Below are 20354 nucleotides of genomic sequence, written 5' to 3' on the forward strand. Positions count from 1 at the left end.
GTGGTGGTAAACTGGAGAGAAGAAGGGTTCTATAATCTTTTGATTAACTAATTGTTTTAGTAAGCCAATTTTCCTGGCCTGTGACCTTTACACATGTTTCTTAACTTTTGTTTTCATCCTGATATGAGATAGGATGTCTTGAGGGATCTGGAGCAGGAGACATGCTCTATGTTTAGGTGAGATAAGGTTTTGGTAAAGTTTTATAACCTAGAAATGGGCGTTTGTTATGGATAATACTCTGGACAATTCCCAAGAATTGGCCTTCGTCTGCCCATCCTAGAGTCACAAGCGAGTTTGTTTGGCTTCTTCACTATGAGAACCTGGCTGCATTCCTGTTGTCAGAACTTACAAAAGTGTGGTGATCTTCCTGAGTCAGTAACCCTCAATAATTTCTCATTGTCACAATTGTCTAAACTTGGACATCAGCAATTCTTCAAAATTACTATTTAAGTGTTTTTTTAAACAGCTTATGGCTCCAGCATCTTCTGTTCTAGGTAAGCAAATCTCAGGTATCCCTCTTTAAATTTACCTGTCTATATGCATTCCAGGGTGGCGGTTTGTCATGCAACCCCAGTTCTCTGATAAGTCCAGCAAAAGTTGTTTAATATCAGTTTTTCAGTTTTTTCTTTTAAGAATATGAATAATGAATTCCAAGCTCTTAACATGTTGAAATTGTGCAGTATATGAATTACATCTCAATAAGACTATTCTTGAAACAAACTAACAAACAAATATGATGAACAGAAAACAGTTACAAATATGGTGGATCATTCTAATTATATCAATAATCTTAAATGATAACAGTTGTTGTTTTCATTATGTTTATTAATTTTTTAACAAGTATTTCATGGCAGTCATACTGATTTTCCATTCACAGTGATAAGATGAAGTTTATACTCTTTTAATAAAAAACACTTAACTAAGATGTCAGTAAAGTAAGGAGGAATATAATTTAGGTAGCATCATAAAGACTGTGCATACATTACTAAGTTTGGGACACCCTAATTCACATCAAAGCAGCCTCCTCCCGTTAGACTGGCCTTGAAATATGGCCATTCTGGAACATTTCCCATAATCCTGTCCACTTAGAACAGCTACTCAGAAACCAGGACAGTCCAGTTGGAATATATAGCCTCCTCTGAGCTGACAAGGCAGTTCCATAATTCATCCAGTGTTAGAGCACTGTTGTCTCATTCCTGCCAAAGTTGCCAGGGCTTCCTGTGGCAACTAGGCCTGGAGGTTGCTTCTGGGGACATGAAAGCATAGGTTAATAAGACTGAGGCTTCCTTTGCTTTTCCCCATCAAAGTTCCCCAGTCTCATGCCTGAAGGTTGAAGCCATCAGCAGGAGCATAATTTCCAAAGCTTGACTTTAAAGTCCCAGTGCTAGATAGGAATGTCTTAGTGCACTAAAATCTCACCAGTAATTTCTCAGAACAGAAGATACTTTTTGGCGTTTTGAATATTGTGTTCTGCCACATACAAAGTGGGAAATAATGTAGGGTGCAGTAAGAGGTATGAGTCTAACAAGCTGAGATATGTTTATGTAGAACTTTATATTTTGTTAATGAGAAATGTGATATTAAATTTGGCAGTCTTTGTTTTACATTAATAAAAACTGAAGTACTTAGAAACTGATCATATTAGAAATATGGATGTCAAAGGTGTAGCATTCCAGGAGAGCATGATGTTCAGACAATATCACTACATTGAAGGAATTCCACAATTAGGAACTGAACAAGGCCGTGGTAGGACTGGGTAAGTAATTTCTCCCAGGATGCATCAATTCAAGGGCCTGGGAGAATTGTGCACTGAGCCCCGATCTAAGTCTGAGGAAATTTTGGTTGTAATGGGAGTGTCAAACCTGAAGACCTGGGACCGGTGGAGAAATTGCTGACTGAAGAAGCTTGGTTGCGACTCAATGGGTTGCATCTGGGCAGCTGGATGAAGGAGGAGCTGCAAAGAGTTGAAGAGTGGCAGGCAATGACAAGCAACAGGTCATGTGGGGAATTTCTATGGTAGTGTATTGCAGGCTCTGGAAATACAAGGTTTAAAATCCAGCAGGAAAGCACAGATCTGAATCTTGGTTTTACCTTCTTACAGGGGTCTAAAGTTAAACACTCCCAGAAAGGGAAACTAAGTCAATGTCACTGAAGTTACTGGGCATGTTGGCTTTCACTACCAGTTTTTGTTTGTTTGTTTGTTTGTTTCCATGAGACCTTCATTCATGGGAGCTAGACCCCACCCAAGTCTGCTTTACCCAAACCTCTATCCCTCTTGTGAGTCACTTTCTCAAAATCTCCTATGTCTAAATGGACCTTGAGTTTTATGACTTAGAGCAGAAGTCAGACAAGAGGGGCCCACCTGAAAAAGACAGCTATTCTCCAGCTCTGTTGCCCCTACCTTTAACCTCTGTCACCTTTACTGTAAGGAGAAAAATATGATATTCCGGTTATCCTCAGACCCAAACACATTTTTCAGCACAGTTTACCCAGAAATGCAAACCTTCAAGAATACACATATTTAAAATAAAATTTGACTTTACCTACTCTTATTCTTTGGAATGTTTGCAGGGAAGAAAATAAATTTCCCTAACTCATGAACAATTCCCATCTGTATTTTCTGAATATATTATAAAGGTGAAGATAAGCTACCATTTGCTAAGAATGTACTACATAACATACATAGTTTTCTGTGAATCACATGTATTTTCTCATATAAACTTCGTAACTCTTGAGGCAGATTCAGAGACATGAAGCACCTTGCTCAGTTACACAGCCAGTAAATGATAGAGGCAACAGTGCAACCTACACAGTTTAGCCAGAGACAGGATAATTTCCTTGTGCTGCCTCTCTGTAACCAGAGGCATCGGTTGTTGAAATGCACTACTGTTTGTATTGGAAAGGCTCCCTGTCCATGCTGCCAGAAGAGGACCACTCAATTACACTTCCAGTCCAACTGCCATAAGCTGCTTTGCCATACAAACTGAGGAACAGCCAGGTGCTCAAGAATTACAGAAGGTAGTCATTTCACCAATAGCTTTGACCACCTCCCAACAAAGCATTTATCTTCCTCTCCTCAAGTGCCAAATGTACACCCCATTTATTTTTTGTAACTTGTCTCCACATTATTGCTTCCCGAGCAGAGAGACAGGACAGAGGCTCACATTTGTGCAAATAACAGATGTGTAAGGAATCCCAGCATATCTTGGGATCTACAAGTAACCCTGCATTACTGGAGCAAAGAGTAATGCTTGTTTGATTATTAAATTATTTTAACATTATCTTGACTTCACCACCACCTGCTGAATAAAAGCTCCACGAGATTAGGCACCTTGTCTACGTATTTAGGGCTACGCTCTGCCCACCCTGCTTTCTGACCTAGAATAAAGCTTGCTACATAAAAAGTGTTCAATCAAACCACACAATAAATGAACATAAGCACCAGGACAATGGTGGGCAACATAGTGGATGGCGATAAAGACTGTAGTCCGTAGAGTTTTAATAACAAAAACATGATACTAAGATAAGGAATTTAGGTGGATTCTTCTATAAACAAGTAAGCAGTCACTGAAAACTGAAGGAAAGTGGGGTAGGATGATGTGTGATGATTCTCTAAGGCAAAAACTAGGGTAGTCTAAAATACATCTCCTAGAACATTCTTCCCAGTCAGATGGGGCCACAACAGAGGTTCTCGCCAGTTTTGCTACTGATCTGCTGACTCACTTCACTGGCATGAAGCAGTATTTTGGCTTGCAATTGTTCTACCTTCCCTGGATTCTCATTCAGCTTTTCTGGCTCCTATCTATGTGTGTTTACCTCCATGATGATGAGACCCTGGTTTCTTCAGGATACCCATGTGCCAAGACCAGTGGCAACAAGAATAGATACAAATTTCAGTCTATTTGTGTGCTGTCCAGTTTATGCTCAAAGGGTTTCATCCTGCTCAACATATTCCCTTCCTGCCTGCCTGCCTGTGGACTTTAAGCTGTAGGAAAACTGCTCATAGAGATTACTTAACTAGACCCACAATAGCATAAGCCAAATTCTCTGTAACAAATAAGTGTGTGTGTGTGTGTGTGTGTGTGTGTGTGTGTCTTAGTGTAGTGGTTTTGCTTCTCTGTTTGACGCCTGACTGATAAGGATTATTAGTTTAAGTATCAGACAAAGAGTTTTACAGCAATGTAAGATACATACGGGAGAGGGAGGTAATTCTAGAAGGTGAGATCTCAGGAGCCACGTAAGAATTTTGAACTGAGAAATGAATTGATTCACTTCAGCTTGACTGGGTATTATGTTCAGCCCTGGAGATAAGTCAGTGAATACAACATGGTCATGTTTTGGCATTGGTGAATGTGATCAATGGGAAGGAAGTGTCATGTGTAACACAGAACATGCCAGGTAACTATTGATAGAGTAAAAGCTGAGTTAAAATGCCCAGAAAAAGGGCCACAGAATCAAAAGCTAAAAGATAATGAAATATAGAAAACAAAACATAGCGAGCTTTCTTTTTCTCATAGTAAATTAAGGAGGAATGTGTGATATTCTAGAACATGTATACCCCTGTCTTATATAAAATATTGAGGTGCAAGAAAGACATATTTTATATCTTTTCCAGATGCTTACAGTACTACCCTGTCATCTTCAGTGGGGTCCCTGGATCATTAAGGAAGAGTTACATTCTTTGGAGATGCGCCTGATAATTATCAGTCAGAAAAGGCAGGTAGAGGGCCGTGGAAATGAATTAGCACCTCCTGTCACTAGGTGGCCACTTTGCAGTGATTCTCTATATTGAGGCCACCTCTATATGCCAGGGATTCAGTGGTTTGGAAATTAGACTTATTAGGCTATTCTGCAATGACATGGTATAATCTGGCCCACAGACAATCATAAACTACTGTGAGAAAAGACTTTTTTTTTTCTTTGTTTTTGGCAGAGTCTCACTCTCTCACCTAGGCTGGAGTGCAATGGCACAATCTTGGGTCACTGCAACATTTGCCTCCTGGGTTCAAGCAATTCTTATGCCTCGGCCTTCTGAATAGCTGAAATCACAGGTGTGCACCACCATGCCCAGCTAATTTTGGCATTTTTAGTAGAGACAAGGTTTTGCCGTGTTGCCCAGGCTGGTCTCAAACTCCTGGTCTCAAGTGATCCGTCCACCTCAGCCTTCCAAAGTGCCGAGATTACAGGCATGAGTCACTGAACCCAGCCAGAAAAGATATTTTTTAATTTGTCTAGATTCAGTAAACAAAAGGAGAGGTGTTCTTCTTCCAATTGTTCCTCTCTGGAAGACTCAGACATCTCATGGCCCATGGTAAACACATAACATATTTTAGCTGTAATTGTTGTTGTGATTATAATTAAAACTTTATTTAAGGAACGGAAAGTTAGCATTTTTCACAAACATTCTAAAAATAAAAGCAGTGTAATAGAGTGGAAAGAATTTGGGTTTTGAAATTTGAAAGAGAATATGGTTCAAATCTTTGCTCTACGTGACTCTGAGCCATCAGGTCTTTCCTCAGTGTGAAGGGAATGCCACTGACGCTGTTGCAAAGACTTCAAGCGCTATGGAACCTCCATGCATTGTGGAACCTCCACACTTCCTGTGGAGTTAACATTAAACATATTTTTTTTTCCTTTTAAATCTTGATCTTCCCCCCACATCCCTATTCATTTCCCCTTTGGAAAAGTCACCTCTCTGGGAGGCAAATTCTCATCTATAAAATGCTTACATGAAGAAGTTTTAAGGACTAAATGGGCTAATATATTCATATATAAATGATCCACAAGCACTTAATTATATGGCTCTGGGTCAGTTATTGAAGCAAGTATCTCATCCTTTAGGAAGAAGGAAAGCATTATCTTCTTATTTGCACAGATGGGAATATTCAATATGTAGGTGCATTTACTCCAAGAATAATGGCTCAATGGCCTTCTTTGATGAATTAAGGAGGTCAGTGGAAGAGGTAGCAGTATAAAGTAAAATTGTTCCCAAAATGTCATCACAATGCAATAGTGAGTTTTATCAACTTGTTGAAAATTTCATGTAATTTGGGATGAAACAGATAGCCTGCTAAGAAAAACAAAGTTAATATAATTGTAGATATGGGAAAAAATGAATATCTCTTTTAATATTTAATGGTTTCTAATCTGAGGAGGAGAGTCCTTTTAAATTAGTCATCAGCACAGCCTTAGAAATAACAATGCATTGAACCACAGTTTTAACATCATCTGGGATATGGAAATGAACATTGATGTGCCATCCAGATCCTTCTTTCAGGAATGACAGGATTAGTCCCTCAGCTTCTGGGAGTGCTGTCCGTGGAAAGCTATGTGTTGTCAGCCCCCTGTGGGAATTGTCTCAGATGGAGAACACAAGCTTTCTCAAAATCACGCCACCTTCCTTGGCCATACCATATTTAATGACTGATGGAGTGAAGATAAAAGTAACAGCTCCCCCAATCCCAAATCAGAACAACTCTGAAGGGTCATCAAAGCATCAGAATCTCCCTTAGATTGAGACCTCCAATGAGATTACTTCATAAATTCACATTTCCTTTTACCCAGTCCTGCTTTCTCAGTTACCATGAGTGTAGTTCATCCCAGAAATACTACCTAATAATCTTTCTGCATGCTAATGTCTATGTAACAGTCTACTTCTGAAGAAATCCACAACTGGCGCTGGAAATGATCTGAGAAAGCTGATCCTGGGATAAGAGTTGGAGCTGTAGCACCTACCCTCTGCTGACAATGAGGATCCCATCACAAATCAGGACTTTACAAAAAGTAGCAGTGCATTTATTAAAGGTTTTGTTGGTGTTGAAGTGGAATGGCATGCCATTAGAAAGCAATTCATTATCTGGTACAATAAATATGTTATTTGAAAAAATATGGGGAAAATAGCCACTATGAAAACAGTGAAATTGGGAATCTATAGCTAAGCCCAAGTCTTGCTTAAAAAAATAAATAATAAGAAGTTGAGATTGTTTGATCAGCAAGTAAGAGCTTAATTTGAAAACCAGAGGGTCTCTTTGGAACACATAGAGAGGATCTCATCTCCTGCAGCTGTATGGCAGAGAAAGCTGCGGACATGGTTAATTGCTTAATTGTAGGAGTAGTCAAACTCCAAAAATAAGCTCCCAACTAGGAACATCTTTTATGCCATTCCAGAATCCTGGTTATGAAAGAATGAGATTCTGATACATCTTAGCTGATGCATGAAAAAGTTTTGAATCTGTATGTTCCCCTGAATCTTCTGATCCTGCAGAAGTACCTACTGTCCTATTGCTTGAAGATGATAAGAAACTTCTTCCTAGAAGGACAACATGTCCTCCATGTAGATCTTCCCTCAACTCCTCTCCTGGATGTTAGGCCAATAACTAGGGTTAAGTCACAACATATTCTGATGGGACAAATTGGTCCTTGTAAAGGAAGAAAGGGGCTATGCATCAAATAAACTGTAGGACCTAACGAACACCCGCTGACAGCAGTTGGCAAAGGTCACATGGGTTTGGATTCTGAGGGTGCTATAAAAAGATAGGGTGCAGAATTTAAGATTAAATAGAGGGGAATTTACCAGTTTGGGAAGACTCTTCCAAGTCATAGAGTTTAATATCTTGGCAAAGTCCCCAGCAGATAGTGCAAACATGCTACAAGGGTAGTTCTAGATGCATGGTAAAATTGGTGGCTCATATAAGTATCTTGAAATGCCTGAATTGCATTGCAGATGGTTCTAGATAGGATAAAAAGGATGATACAAGTAGGCATCATTAAGAACATGTATTGTGTAATATTGGAACCACCATTGCTCCCTGACCCCTAACAGATGATTATGTTCCACAGAAGAGCCTGGAAGACGTATCATTTACCAAAATAATAAAGAATGCACAAATAGGAAGTACATCACCACCCTGAGCATTTCAGTAATGGCTTTCCTCTTTATGTCAGGCACATGCTACAAAAAGGGCATTGAAGAATGAAACTCACTCCTAGAGATGGGGTTAATAGTATCGTGATACAAATGAGGCCAGGTTGTAGTATTTAACCTTCAGATATCACGTTGTTATGTGAAGTCAAGATTTTTTTTCAAGAATGAAGGACTTAATTCCTCAACTTCAAGTCCAAAGATATATTTCCTTCCCAAAGTGACCTGCCTCCAGTGAGTTTTAGATATGGAAGTATAGTGGCTGAGCCTCCTTACCTCATCTTGGAACAACTCTAAATGATCATTTGAGGTTTAAGATTTCCATGGGGCTGGCTGAGGAATGCACTGAAACTGCACTGAAGTTCAACTTCTCCTCCTGCCTGAACATACTTTTTAAATCTTTATCTCACAGTCATTAATTCCATAATCATAAGAATTCCTTAATATAAAGCTCACTCATGGAAATCTCTCTGTCCCCCAGGGAAGCCATTTGGTAACAAGTGTCACTTAAATCTACATTGATGGGGCTGTCTTATCTTACACGTGTGTTTTTGTCTTAGTTTTTCAACTCTCTAAAGAACATTTGTACCTCTGTGTCTCTAAAGACTTATTTTTTAAAAATTTATAAACAATGTAAATACGGTGCCATTCTTAACTCTTTTCTTCATGTTGATTTTATCCGTTTATTTTTTACTATAGTAATAATAAAGTTTAATATTTGATGAATTATCATTTTATGCAGGGTACTATGCCAAAATGAAAAAAACTTGCCTTGGGTCCTCATGCATCCCCACTATTTATAGAGCTTGAGCATTCAGGTATATTACAACCTCTCTGAGTTTCTGTGTATTTAACTTTAATTTAACAGAGAATGCCTCCCTCACAATAATGGAGGGTTTACATTTATATAGCAAGAAACTAGGTACCTTTTTAAATGGTACAAGGGACACCAAAGAACTGTCAGTGTCATAGGCATCGGTTACTCATGAAAGCAACATCAGATCCCTGGGCAAAACAACAAATACAAGAAGGCATTCATATTAGTAATAATCCATAGAATTATTTTAAGTCATTTCTCATCCATAGCTAGGATATGAGCTTTGGAATCTGGAAAAAGTTAGATTTGACTTCTACCTCTACCATTAATTTCTGGGTGAATTTGGAAAAATTTAGGTTGACCCTTTTGTGACTGATTTTTTAAACCTATAAATCTATAAATAAATGCTATTTATTTCACAACATTTTTGTAAGGACTGAATGAGGTAATATATGCAAAGTACTTAACTAGCACTTACACATATGTATGCTAAGCACTAAAGGAATGAGAACAATTATTGGTTTTATTTTACTGATTGCTACTATTTCCATAAATCTTTACTCCATACCTATGAGATAGATGGGAATGAGATTATTAGTCCCATTTAGGACAAAGAACAAGAAATAAAATAAGTTTCCAGTCATATAGCTAGAAAGTGGTGAAGCTGGGTTTTCAGCCAAACTCCTTCATATTCCTATATGTGTCATGTTCATTCCATTAGGCCTGGTCCTATAACAGACTTGGGATCTAAACGATACTACTGAATAGGAGTTCAGGTTATGTTGAGTGTTAAGGCGTTGGGTGACAAAGGTGTAAAGAGTCTTAGCTCTTAACTTTCGGAGAAAATTTTAGTTTCTCAGGATTCTCTATCATCCAGCCCAGTGTTTTGTTTAATGCCTCAATCCCTTAAGCCATAACCTGACTTCTGATTCCACAGGAGTTTCTTACATCAACCTTTTTTCTAACTGAGCAATTGCTCTCTTGTTGATGCCTTTTGAGGAATATCTTTTATATAGAGTTGTTTGGTATGACCTGACCTGGGAAACAAAACTCCCTTCCCAACCAAAAGAGGAAATAAGGAAACAATAACACGTCTTTGATTGCAGTTTACATGACAGGGGTTATGATAATGATGGTTAATATAAACACCGTGTGTTAGAGAGGAAGGAAGGGAGGGAGGGAGGGAGGGAAGGAGGGAGGGAGGGAGGACAACATACAAAGGCCTAGAGTGGGAAATAAACAAACAGTTTAAAAATCCTTTCTTAATGCCTGTTATTTATTTTCCATCATTTAATGAAATGTCATGGCATTAAATCTTATAAACAGGCTGTTTATAAGATTTCATATGCTCCAACCTGCTTAAGAGAGGTCTGCTTATGCCTCTTATCCTAGTATAATTATTAAGAATGACCCTTTTCACTCTCACAAAGGTCCTCTATTGGTCTAAAAGTTCTATGTTAACTCCATATATCCTTGACCAATTGTGTACTATGTTTGGTAGTATACAATTGATCAAGAAGATATGAAATAATTAAAACAACAGATTTCAGCCTTCCTGAGTCCTTCATACTAGTGCAGCACTTCTTAAATAGCATCCCTTTTAATTAAGACACAAGTAAGGGCAATATAATGCTTGTTATCTGGATTGTTTTTGGCTGTGCGCCTGGACACCAACTGCTGTTGCTGCTGCAAACCTTCATGTCCACAGCAGAAAGGAACCTGCCAACTCACCTAAATGTGGCAAGCCTGGAGGTCTGCAATGTACAACCAAGAGTCCCAGGACATTGATATTTTTCCTCCTACCAAAGGCTGTGTTTGTGGAACGAGGTTGGAGGAAGGATGTAGTAGGACTAGCTCTCTAAAGTCAAACTCAGAAAATGTCTCAGTCACTCTGCTTAAGTCTGTGATTTAGAACTCCAACTGCCTTCCTCCAGATGCTATTTTGGAGAGTTCAGCCTGATCATCAAAGGTTGCTTCAAAATTTAAATATGATTGCCTCCTTTAGTTTCACAAGCTAGTCTTCAAATGGTTGACCTGAGGTGAATCTTGTTTTGCCTTCTTTCTACAGAAGATGGTAGAGAAAAACCACAATGGAAGCCATGGGCTTTATTTAGGTTTTATCCACTATGAAATGTAACTGCTGAGGGCCAGGCATAGTGGCTCATGCCTATAGTTTAGCACTTTGGGAGGCCGAGGCAGGTGGATCACTTGAGGTCGGGAGTTTGAGACCAGCTTAGCCTACAAGACGAAACCTCATCTCTCAAAAAAAAAAAAAAAATGCTGGACATAGTGGTGCACACCTGTAATTCCAGCTACTTGGGAGGCTGAGGCAGGAGAATCGCTTGAACTCAGGAGGTGGAGGTTGCAGTGAACAGAGATCACACTGCTGCACTCCAGCCTGGTTGACAGAGCGAGAATCTGACCAAAAAAAAAAAAAAGAAAAAAGATAAAAGTAAGTGCTGGCTCTCTAATCTATCTTTTCTGCTTCCAGCCCTTAGTAATATTCATTCATGTTCATATTCTCTTCTGTGGTTGAGCAAATATTTTCTGATTTCAAAGAGGATTGAAGGGAACTGAGATAAAGACACTTGCACTGCTCCCCACACCCAGCTGCTTAATCTTGGATATGCTATTCCTTTAGCATTTAGATAAGTTTCCCTTATTTAGTCCCACAGTCAAAGCCTAGCTCTCCAGGTTTTTCAAGTAAAGTTATCCCACAGGCTTCTTTGAGTCCTCCTGAGTGCAAGCTATCCCTTCCATTACATCCATCAAGCAGCCTGCAGGGGCAACATCTCCAGTAAATGTGTCCAACACCTCTCCTGCTTAAACCCTGCAGTGGCTCTCCACTGTTTGTGGTGTGAAGCAGGGACTTAGTCTGGCACCCCAGGCCTTTGAGCCACTAAGACTATTGCCATTTCTGTGCTGATATCTACCTCCTCTTGACATGGGCTTCATGCTCTGGCCCACTCATTTTTCAGTGTTCCTTTCCCTAAATACACACTGGGGCTTATTCCTCCACTTTTCTGAAGATGTCAGTCAATGGGAAGTATAGACTAAGAGCAGACGTGATGGCAGGGGAAAAGGGCAAAACATCCAGGTTAGGCAGGAGAAGTTACATGAGTAAATTCAGGAAAATCATGTATATAAAGAAGACCTTGGGGGTGAAAGTTAGAGAAGGAAGGAGGGCTGTCATCCCTCTTGTGAATTCTTGTCAAGGTCACTGGTCAGTAATGAATCCATGTTGACTCCCTCCACCTGTGCTTTTGTGTCGTTGCTACACAGAGGCTTGGAGAAATCATCCACCCTCTCCTGGAGCCATGTGATAGGAGCTCAGAGCATTGTGACTGTCTGAGTCTAGAATTGCTCTGCCTCAACAGTGTTGGGACAGTCTAAAAGTGGGACATAAACCAGGAGTCAAAGCTTTCTACTTCCCCTGGCTGAGAAAACCTCTTGCTCCCCACTAAGGGACAGATCCTTCTCATTCTCTTAGACTGCATTTCTTCCTTTCTCTGAGAAGGCTTCTTTGATTCATCTTTCAGCAAAAACTGCACATTTCCTTTGAAATGTCTTTTGCACATTTAATACAACAGTATTCACACTCAATTGCAAAATAGCTTTACATTTCTCCTTTTCTGCTGGAGCATTCAGGCAGTAGAGGATCAACTCACTGCCTTTTTTCAGTGCCTAACATAATGTCTGGCTGATACGGTTTGGCTGTGTCCCCACTCAAATCTCATCTTGAATTGTAACTCCCATAATTCCCACGTGTTGTGGGAGGGACCCGGTAAAAGTTAACTAAATCATGGGGGCAGTTCCCAGTTCTTGCGGTAGTGAATAAGTATCATGAGATCTGACGGTTTTTATAAGGGGTTTTGCCTTTCACTTGGCTCTCATTCTCTCTTGTCTATCCTCATGTAAGACATGCCTTTCACCTTACTGTGAGTCCATTAAACCTCTTTTTCTTTATAAATTACCCAGCCTTGGGTATGTCTCTATCAGCAGCATAAAAACAGACTAATTCACTGGCAAACTTGGTGCCAATTTAGTGCTAACTATATGAGTACACACACACACGCACACACACACACAGAATTTAAACCGAGGTCTTAAGTTATCTAAAGCATAAACCTTTATTCTGTATTGTATTTCATTATTTTCACTGCTATTTTAGGTATATATATTCAAGTGGAGGAAATAGAACACACATGCGAGAGAATCACTTTCTGAGAGAGCTGAAGACTATTTGATGGACCACCATAAATTTCATCAAAGGAAACAGAGCAGAGAATTGACCAATAACAAACAGCTGGAAATGAAAGAACTGTGGGCAAGGTAATGACGAAGTAATTACCCTGGGTTTAACTCAAGGTCTAAACTTTTCTAGTTTATCTTAATGAAACACTATGCTCTGCCTACGTAAATCATATATTTCTATTATATGATTAGTAATAAAATGACTATTTATATAGCTGAAAAAAATGTCTGGCAGCAAGTACGTGCTGATGGGGATAGTTTGGGGTCCAGACAGATTATCTGCATTAACAGAGGAAGAGAATCTGCAGCATTTTAATGAAAATTTGAAATGAAACTAAATTAGGTATTAAAATGAAGTATAATTTCTCAAGCTAAGAATAGGAAAATAATATATTGAGTGGAGCTCTTTATAGCTTAGAGACATAAGAATAAAAGTTTAACACAATTAAGTTATTCTTGATGTTACTCTTGAGCTAGAGATATCATCTCTTTCTTATCCTAATTGAGTTTCTCTATCTCACTTCCATTAATAACGGTTAGACTGAGATACTGGTCAAGTGGAAAAATGACCATAAATGTTCTCTTATTCTGTAGAGGATTAGGCACTTCCAATATGTACAGAACGATGATAATATGACCCTTGTTGACCTAGTCTTAAAGAAGAAGATGAATAGAAGGAAAAAATTTAAAAAATAATATGTTCTAACTCTTTAAGTTTTAGATACAAAGCCAGCCTATTGAGAAACCTTTTATTAAGCATTATTATGTGTGAGATATTTTGCAAGTGCTGTGAACAAAAATCAGTGAAAAACGAATAAGCAAAATACAATAAAATGTTGTCTCTACCCACCCACCTAAAAACAGCAAAGTAGGAAGAAAGACACATAAAACAGGGAAGAAATGATACAAGTGCTATATGTTGTACAAGTCTAATCAAAATGTGTAAGATGTTCTGGAGAATCCCAAATTTAGAAGTATCCAGCTTTTCCAAGGTGTAAAGTGAAAGAAGGGTGGCGTTGGAACAGATACCTTAAAGGATAACCAAGTATTTGAAGGGACAGTATATACCACCCAGAGTATCTTCTGACAATTCTAAGAAAATATGCGTAGTGGGTAACAAAGCAACATATGTCTTGGGTATGTTCGAGGAATCTAAATGTCATGGTGAGTCTAGAGTCATGATGAGAGTGGGTGTGGAAGGGGCAGTGCAGTGACTCATCACATCCTGTGTCACTTCTCTATTTTGGGTATGTGGACAACCACTTCCCAGTCTCCTTGCAATCCGATAGAACCACATGACTATTTCTAACCCATAAAATCTGAGCAGGAGTAATGTGTGCTCTACCTGAACTGTGACTTTGAAAAGCCCCTTTTCCATATGTGTCTCCAGTACATTTCTTCCCTTAAGGCAGTGAGCATGGGAGCCTTCAAAATGAGGGTATCAAAAGGTTAAGGCAGGTTGGTTTTGAGTCACCACTTGAAGGACTGTTGCAAAGAGAGTCATCTACAACAGAATTCATGTAAACTGTGTTGTTAGGTGGTGCTTTGTGTTAAGCCATTGAGACTGAGGAATTGTTTGTCACTAAAGCATAAAGTTGTCCTATCCTGACTAATAGCAAGGGTGGTGGTGAGAGTTGGACCCAAAAAGAAAGGCAAATGATATATCATGTAACAATTCAATAAACTCTCCTTTGACTTCTTAATGAGAACTAATTATTTTATCTGATGCTTCCCAAGCATCTCATTGGTTTTCTATTCAGCACTTATTTCCTTCTGCAGGCCCTATTGTTCCTTGTTGGTCTATTTTTCTCATTATGTTATACAATAACATCATTCAAGTTATGTCTAGTGTAATAAAAATTCCCTGAATAACAAATACACTAAAATTTGAATACCATTCCCTAAGAATATATAAATATGGAGCATGACAAGAACTTTTCTGGATTGCAAAAAAGGAAGGTGGAACAAAGTAGCACCAACCCTACGGTCTCTGCAATTGGAAGATTCAACAAGGATTTCTACTTTTAAGTGAAAATTTAACTTCTCAAGACAGGTGTCTTTTTTTTTTTTCATAGCTGTATTCAGGTATAATAGGTATAACAAAAACTGCATATAACTAATGTACACAATTTGGTGAGTGTGGGCGTAGGTACACATTCAATATAACCAAAATCCAGGTAACAAACATATTTATCACTTCCAAAAGTTTCCATGTGTAGCTTTGTAAAGTTTTTCTTTTTTTTTGTCTTTTTTGTTTATTTAATTTTTATTTTTGTAAAAGTTAACATGAAATCCACCCTCTTAACAATTTTTTTAAGCATCCTATACTTTCTTGTTAACTATAGGCTCTATGTTGTTCAGCAGATGTCTGGAACTTACTTACCTTGTGTAACTGCAACTTTATACCTACTAAACAACAACCCTCCATATTCCCTTCCCCCATCCCATGGTAAACAACATTCTATTGTGTATTCCTACAACTTTGACTATAGTAGATGTCTTACATAAGAGTAATCCAATGATTTTTGTCATTCATTGACTAGCATTTTGGTGTCTTTCAGTGTGTTTGTATTTCTTCTTTTAGCAGTTATCATAGTCTCTGTACTAGGATCAGGGTCTATAGAGGAGTTGAAGGTACAATGGCCCTACTCTACAGAAGTTTGAATTCCCAGACTCCAAAGTACGGTTTCTAAAGCACAGATGCAGTCTCTGTTACTTCCACAAGTAGTATTTTAGCCTAATGTGGATCAGATTGAAACACAGAAGCAGCCATGTCCTGCAATGTATCAGATGACCCCATCAAAGTTCCACAGATGGTCTTTAGGAGGCCAGCCATACAATTATTTGCTAAATTAGATGTTCGTGTGTATAGGCATGTATATTTGGAAAAGATATTCAAAGCTTTAATTGGGTATTCCAAAGAATGGTCCACTTTGCCATATTTTTAAAGAACTGCTGATGCAGCGGGAGGCAGACATATATATAAACTTCTTTCAATTTAATGTAGTAAGTGTAACAATAAATATAAAGGCATTTCTGTAGTTTTATAGTGGAGTGAGTGAGGGCTTGAATTACTGTGTAATCAAAGTTTATTTTGGGGGGTCTGACTATGTTTTATATGTGACGGTTCCCTTATTTTATTAATGTACAAAAATTTGAATGATAGTTAATTATATCTTTTGACAGTTGGGCAGATTTGCAAATAATTAATTTTTAATTTATTTAGGAAGCCTAGTGATTATTAGACTTCTTATCAATTGACAAGCCAAAGTTCTTACAGGGAGAGCTCTGCTCTGTAAGCAGTGAACTCCCATTGCCCAAAACATTCACAAAACATTGTCAAGCTTCAACTAAAGATGTGATTGTTTTGACTTTTTGATAGTGATAGATCACCATACCAAATCAGACTTATTCTCTGCTTTGTGTATCAGGTTTTTCTGAATGCAAATAGAACATAAAAGAATTGATCAGTTAATTATCAACATTTTGTATGTCAGAACAGGGGAGGAAAAGCCATGTATGGCTTCCCACACCTCAATTGATAGCATGTTCATTCCAGTCATTTTCTCTCTCTCTTTCTTGGGTGCCTCATGTTCAGTTTATCAGGAAATTATCTTGTTTTTACCTTCAAAATATAGCCAGAATCTGACCAATACTCAATATAATCAAACAAAAACCTACAAGTTTTCCTTGATCTTCTATTCCTTTCCCCACCTCCACCCCACCCATCAAAACCTGTGTTCTGAATCTGCTACTTTTAAGGATATGCCAGAGTTACCAACTCCATCCATGTGTCCTTTTTTCCACTTCTATCATCCTGATCCTGGCCACCATGACCTGTCACGTCCATATTTAAAACTGACTATTGTCCATTGCATATAGACATGAATAGAAACACATCATGTGAAATGTCTGATATAGTTTGCCTGTGTCCTCACCCAAATCTCATCTAGAACTGTAGCGTCCATAATTCCCATGTGTTGTGGGAGGGACCTGGTGAAAGATAATTATATCAGGGAGGCAGTTTCTCCCCATACTCTTCTCATGGTAGTGAATAAGTCTCATGAAATCCAATGGTTTTATAAGGGGAAACTCCTTTCACCTGGCTCTCTCATTTTCTCTTGTTTGCTGCCATGTAAGATGTGCCTTTCACCTTCTGCCATGATTGTGAGGTCGCTCCAGCCACGTGGAACTGAGTCCATTAAACCTCTTTTTCTTTATAAATTGCCCAGACTCAGGAATGTCTTTACCTGCAGCATGAAAATTGATTAATACAATGTATATCTACTTCAATGACATTCCAAATGACTTATAATAAAATCCAAAGTACTGCCATAAACTTCAGGGCTTGCCTTGATCTGTACCATTATGTCTCCTCTTCAGGTGCATGTCATGGCAGACCCTGTTGTGCTCAATGGATTTCAGTCATGGTGGTGTTTCCTGTGTTTTTGAATCATTGAACATGTTCTAACCTTAGGGCTCTTGTACTTGGGATTCATTCCCCCTGGAAGGCTCTTCCTATATATTATACCATAGCTCACAACTTTTCAGTTCTCAGTGGACTGCACTATTGAAAATACTTCTTCACAGACTGTCCAGCCTAAATTATTTCTGCTTTCACCTGATCACCCGCTCTCATATTAGTCTGCTGTTTTATAAACATTATTGCTCTGAAAAACTTGTTTATTTATTTCCTACTGTATTCATTGTCAAATGAAATTTAGGTCCCATGAGAACAAGGACTTTGTCAGCTTTGTGCTGCTGAATTACTAGACAGTAAATGCCATACATGTAGCACAAAAATTGTTGCATGAAAAAATGAGTTACGTTGAAGGGTAAAGTATGGGGGTAAGAAAGGAATTAAAAATACTTAAGGGGATCTTTTGGGTTTTAGTTCTGACAGATAAAGATCTTGGAAGTCATTCCACCTGTTCTCATAACAAGAAAAACAAAATGAACAAAGTGAAAATGAATGAATTTTCTTAGATTCATCAGAAAATTGAGATCACTGGGCAAACAACCACCCTAAATCTAATGAGGCAGATGGATACACAGAATAACAGCTAAGATCAACTTACCTATAACAGTAGCTTCTCGTCCTAGTAACTGCTAAGTATATGTAAAGGCAATTTTTACAAATGTCTACACCTAAGTGTGGACTAGTTGGAGAATTAAAAACTGCTGGGGAACCAATCTTAGGGAGGCTTAACTACATATCCCAGATTTTACCTTCAGAAGCCCTACCAGATTTTCATGACGATGATGATCAGAAAAACAGCCTCTTTCTTTTTGGGGCAGAAAAAGGAATAAACAAAAAATACAAAAAAAAAAACTGAAGCCTCAGGCATCTATAGCTACAGCAAACATTAAACACAGCCCAACTTCTAGCCAGATTAACATAAAAACTTATACTAAAAATCTAATTACCTCAGGTCCTGAGGGAAGGATCGATATAGGTGGTGCAGAGAATTTTTAGGGCAGGGAAAGGACTCTGTATGACACTTTTAGGGATATGTGCCATTACACATTTGTCAAAACCCATTGAACTGTGTAACACAAAGAGTGAAACTTAAACTGTAGACTTTAGTTAATAATAATGCATCACTATTGGTTCATTAATTTTAACAAATGTAGCACACTTATGCAAGTTATTAATAAAAGGGAAAACTGGTTGTGGGGGGTTGTATATGGGAACTCTCTGTACAATTTTCTTAGATTTTCTGTAAAACTACAACTGTCCTAAAAAATAATGCTCACTTATTAAAACCAAAAAAAGACTCCCCAGGATTTGGGTCTGTAAAACTGAGGAAAAAATGGTGAAATAATTTTGGCACTCACAGAAAGAGTCATAGAAGGAAGGAGAATGCATACATTTATTTACAGACCCTTTTCTGCACTGGATGCTTCAAGAATCAGAGCACCAGTGATTTCAGATCTAACAGTTAAATTGCCAAGATGATGTAATAGTACTATAACTCCTTTTAAGTTATTAATCCTGGAATTTCACATATTTTTGTGAGTATAAATGCACTTGCTCTCCATTTAGTGCGGATGTTTATAACATATTCTGGAAATCTCAGTGAATGGAGAGTGGTAGACTTTTTTAATGGAACATGACTAGCAAAAGCTGGAAGGTTGTGTAACTTGAGGGGGACACGATCCAGGAAGCTATAATAAAAACAGCTGGAGATAGTTGTAGAGGAGAGGAGGCCAGGAAGAAATAATCCCACTCAATGAAGAGGTACAGCACTGTGGTTTGGGGGTGAGGGCAGCAGAAGGGAAGGAGCAGCAGTCGGTTCCCCAGCACGAAGATGTTACATTCTCTATCACAGAGATGTTGATTTCTATTGTACTAAAATAGGTGCAATTATCTAAGGCCACAGCAGCCTCCTCGCTCAGATATTCAGGAGATTTGGAGCGGGGAGGTCATCTATTGATATCATGGCCCCATTGTGCAGCTGTCTGTCTATGCAGACAACTCTGGCTATGAACAGCTACAGGTGCAAGTGCTGGTGGAGATTGTCGGAGGTGATCCCTGAGGAGCTGTGCATAATTTACTCTGCCTCAGAAGGCACAAGCTAATTTTGAACAAACCCCTGTGCTGTCATCTACTATAACAGACCCAATTTAGATTAATCCTTGAACTGGGATTCCACGTGCATAAGACAGTCTCCAAAACAAAGAAAGGCAAACCAGAGACATTAATAGTATCCAGATGATTGCTTAGGTTTAATGCGAAGCTCTTTTTAAAATGTCCAATTTTTAATCTCAACTGTGCAAACAAAGCCTCCATCAAAGGATTAAGAGCCTTAAAGAGGCTTCTCCCAGCAAAAAGAGGGCCTGTATTTTAAACAAGGGGTGCCCATCCTTCTTGCCTGTTTTGACCAGATGATTTGGCTGCTAATTATACTTTAATTAGAAAGAAAAAAACAATTCAGTGTGTTTTTCTTCAAAAGGCAGGGAGAAAATAAACCTCAGATAACTGTATTATCATGGTTTTCTAAATAATGGACCAATGGCTGCTTCTTGAATTCACTTATGATTACAGAATTACATTTAAATTAAATAGGACTTCAGTTTGCCCAATTTATCCCCAGATGTATCTCACTCAGTTGTTATGTTCCATTTACTGTATTATGATAGTTAATATCAGGGGTTTGAGATTATTACATTTCTTAGTTCCAGCTCCAGATTGTGACTTTGGATAAAATATTTCATAGTTCTGAGTCTATACAATGAAAATTATGATATAATTTATTTCATAAAGTTTGTGGGAAGATTGAATGTAATATGCATGAAAGGCATTTATTGCTAATCCTGTACATATACACTTAGGAACTCCTCAGGAAACCTGCTGCGTGG

The 20354-nt window shown here is 38.4% G+C and overlaps 1 long non-coding RNA gene across 1 annotated transcript in view; it reads left to right on the forward strand.

Moving 5' to 3' along the window:
• LOC107986905 (uncharacterized) overlaps positions 1-13064 on the forward strand; it is a 33147-nt gene extending 20083 nt beyond the window's left edge. The window contains exon 5 of the long non-coding RNA XR_001745742.1: positions 12910-13064. This is a non-coding gene — a long non-coding RNA (uncharacterized LOC107986905). The remainder of the gene's footprint in view (positions 1-12909) is intronic.
• The last annotated feature ends 7290 nt before the right edge of the window (positions 13065-20354 follow it).

The sequence above is a fragment of the Homo sapiens genome, chromosome 8 (genome assembly GCF_000001405.40).
Source record: "Homo sapiens chromosome 8, GRCh38.p14 Primary Assembly".
Lineage (NCBI taxonomy): Eukaryota > Metazoa > Chordata > Mammalia > Primates > Hominidae > Homo > Homo sapiens.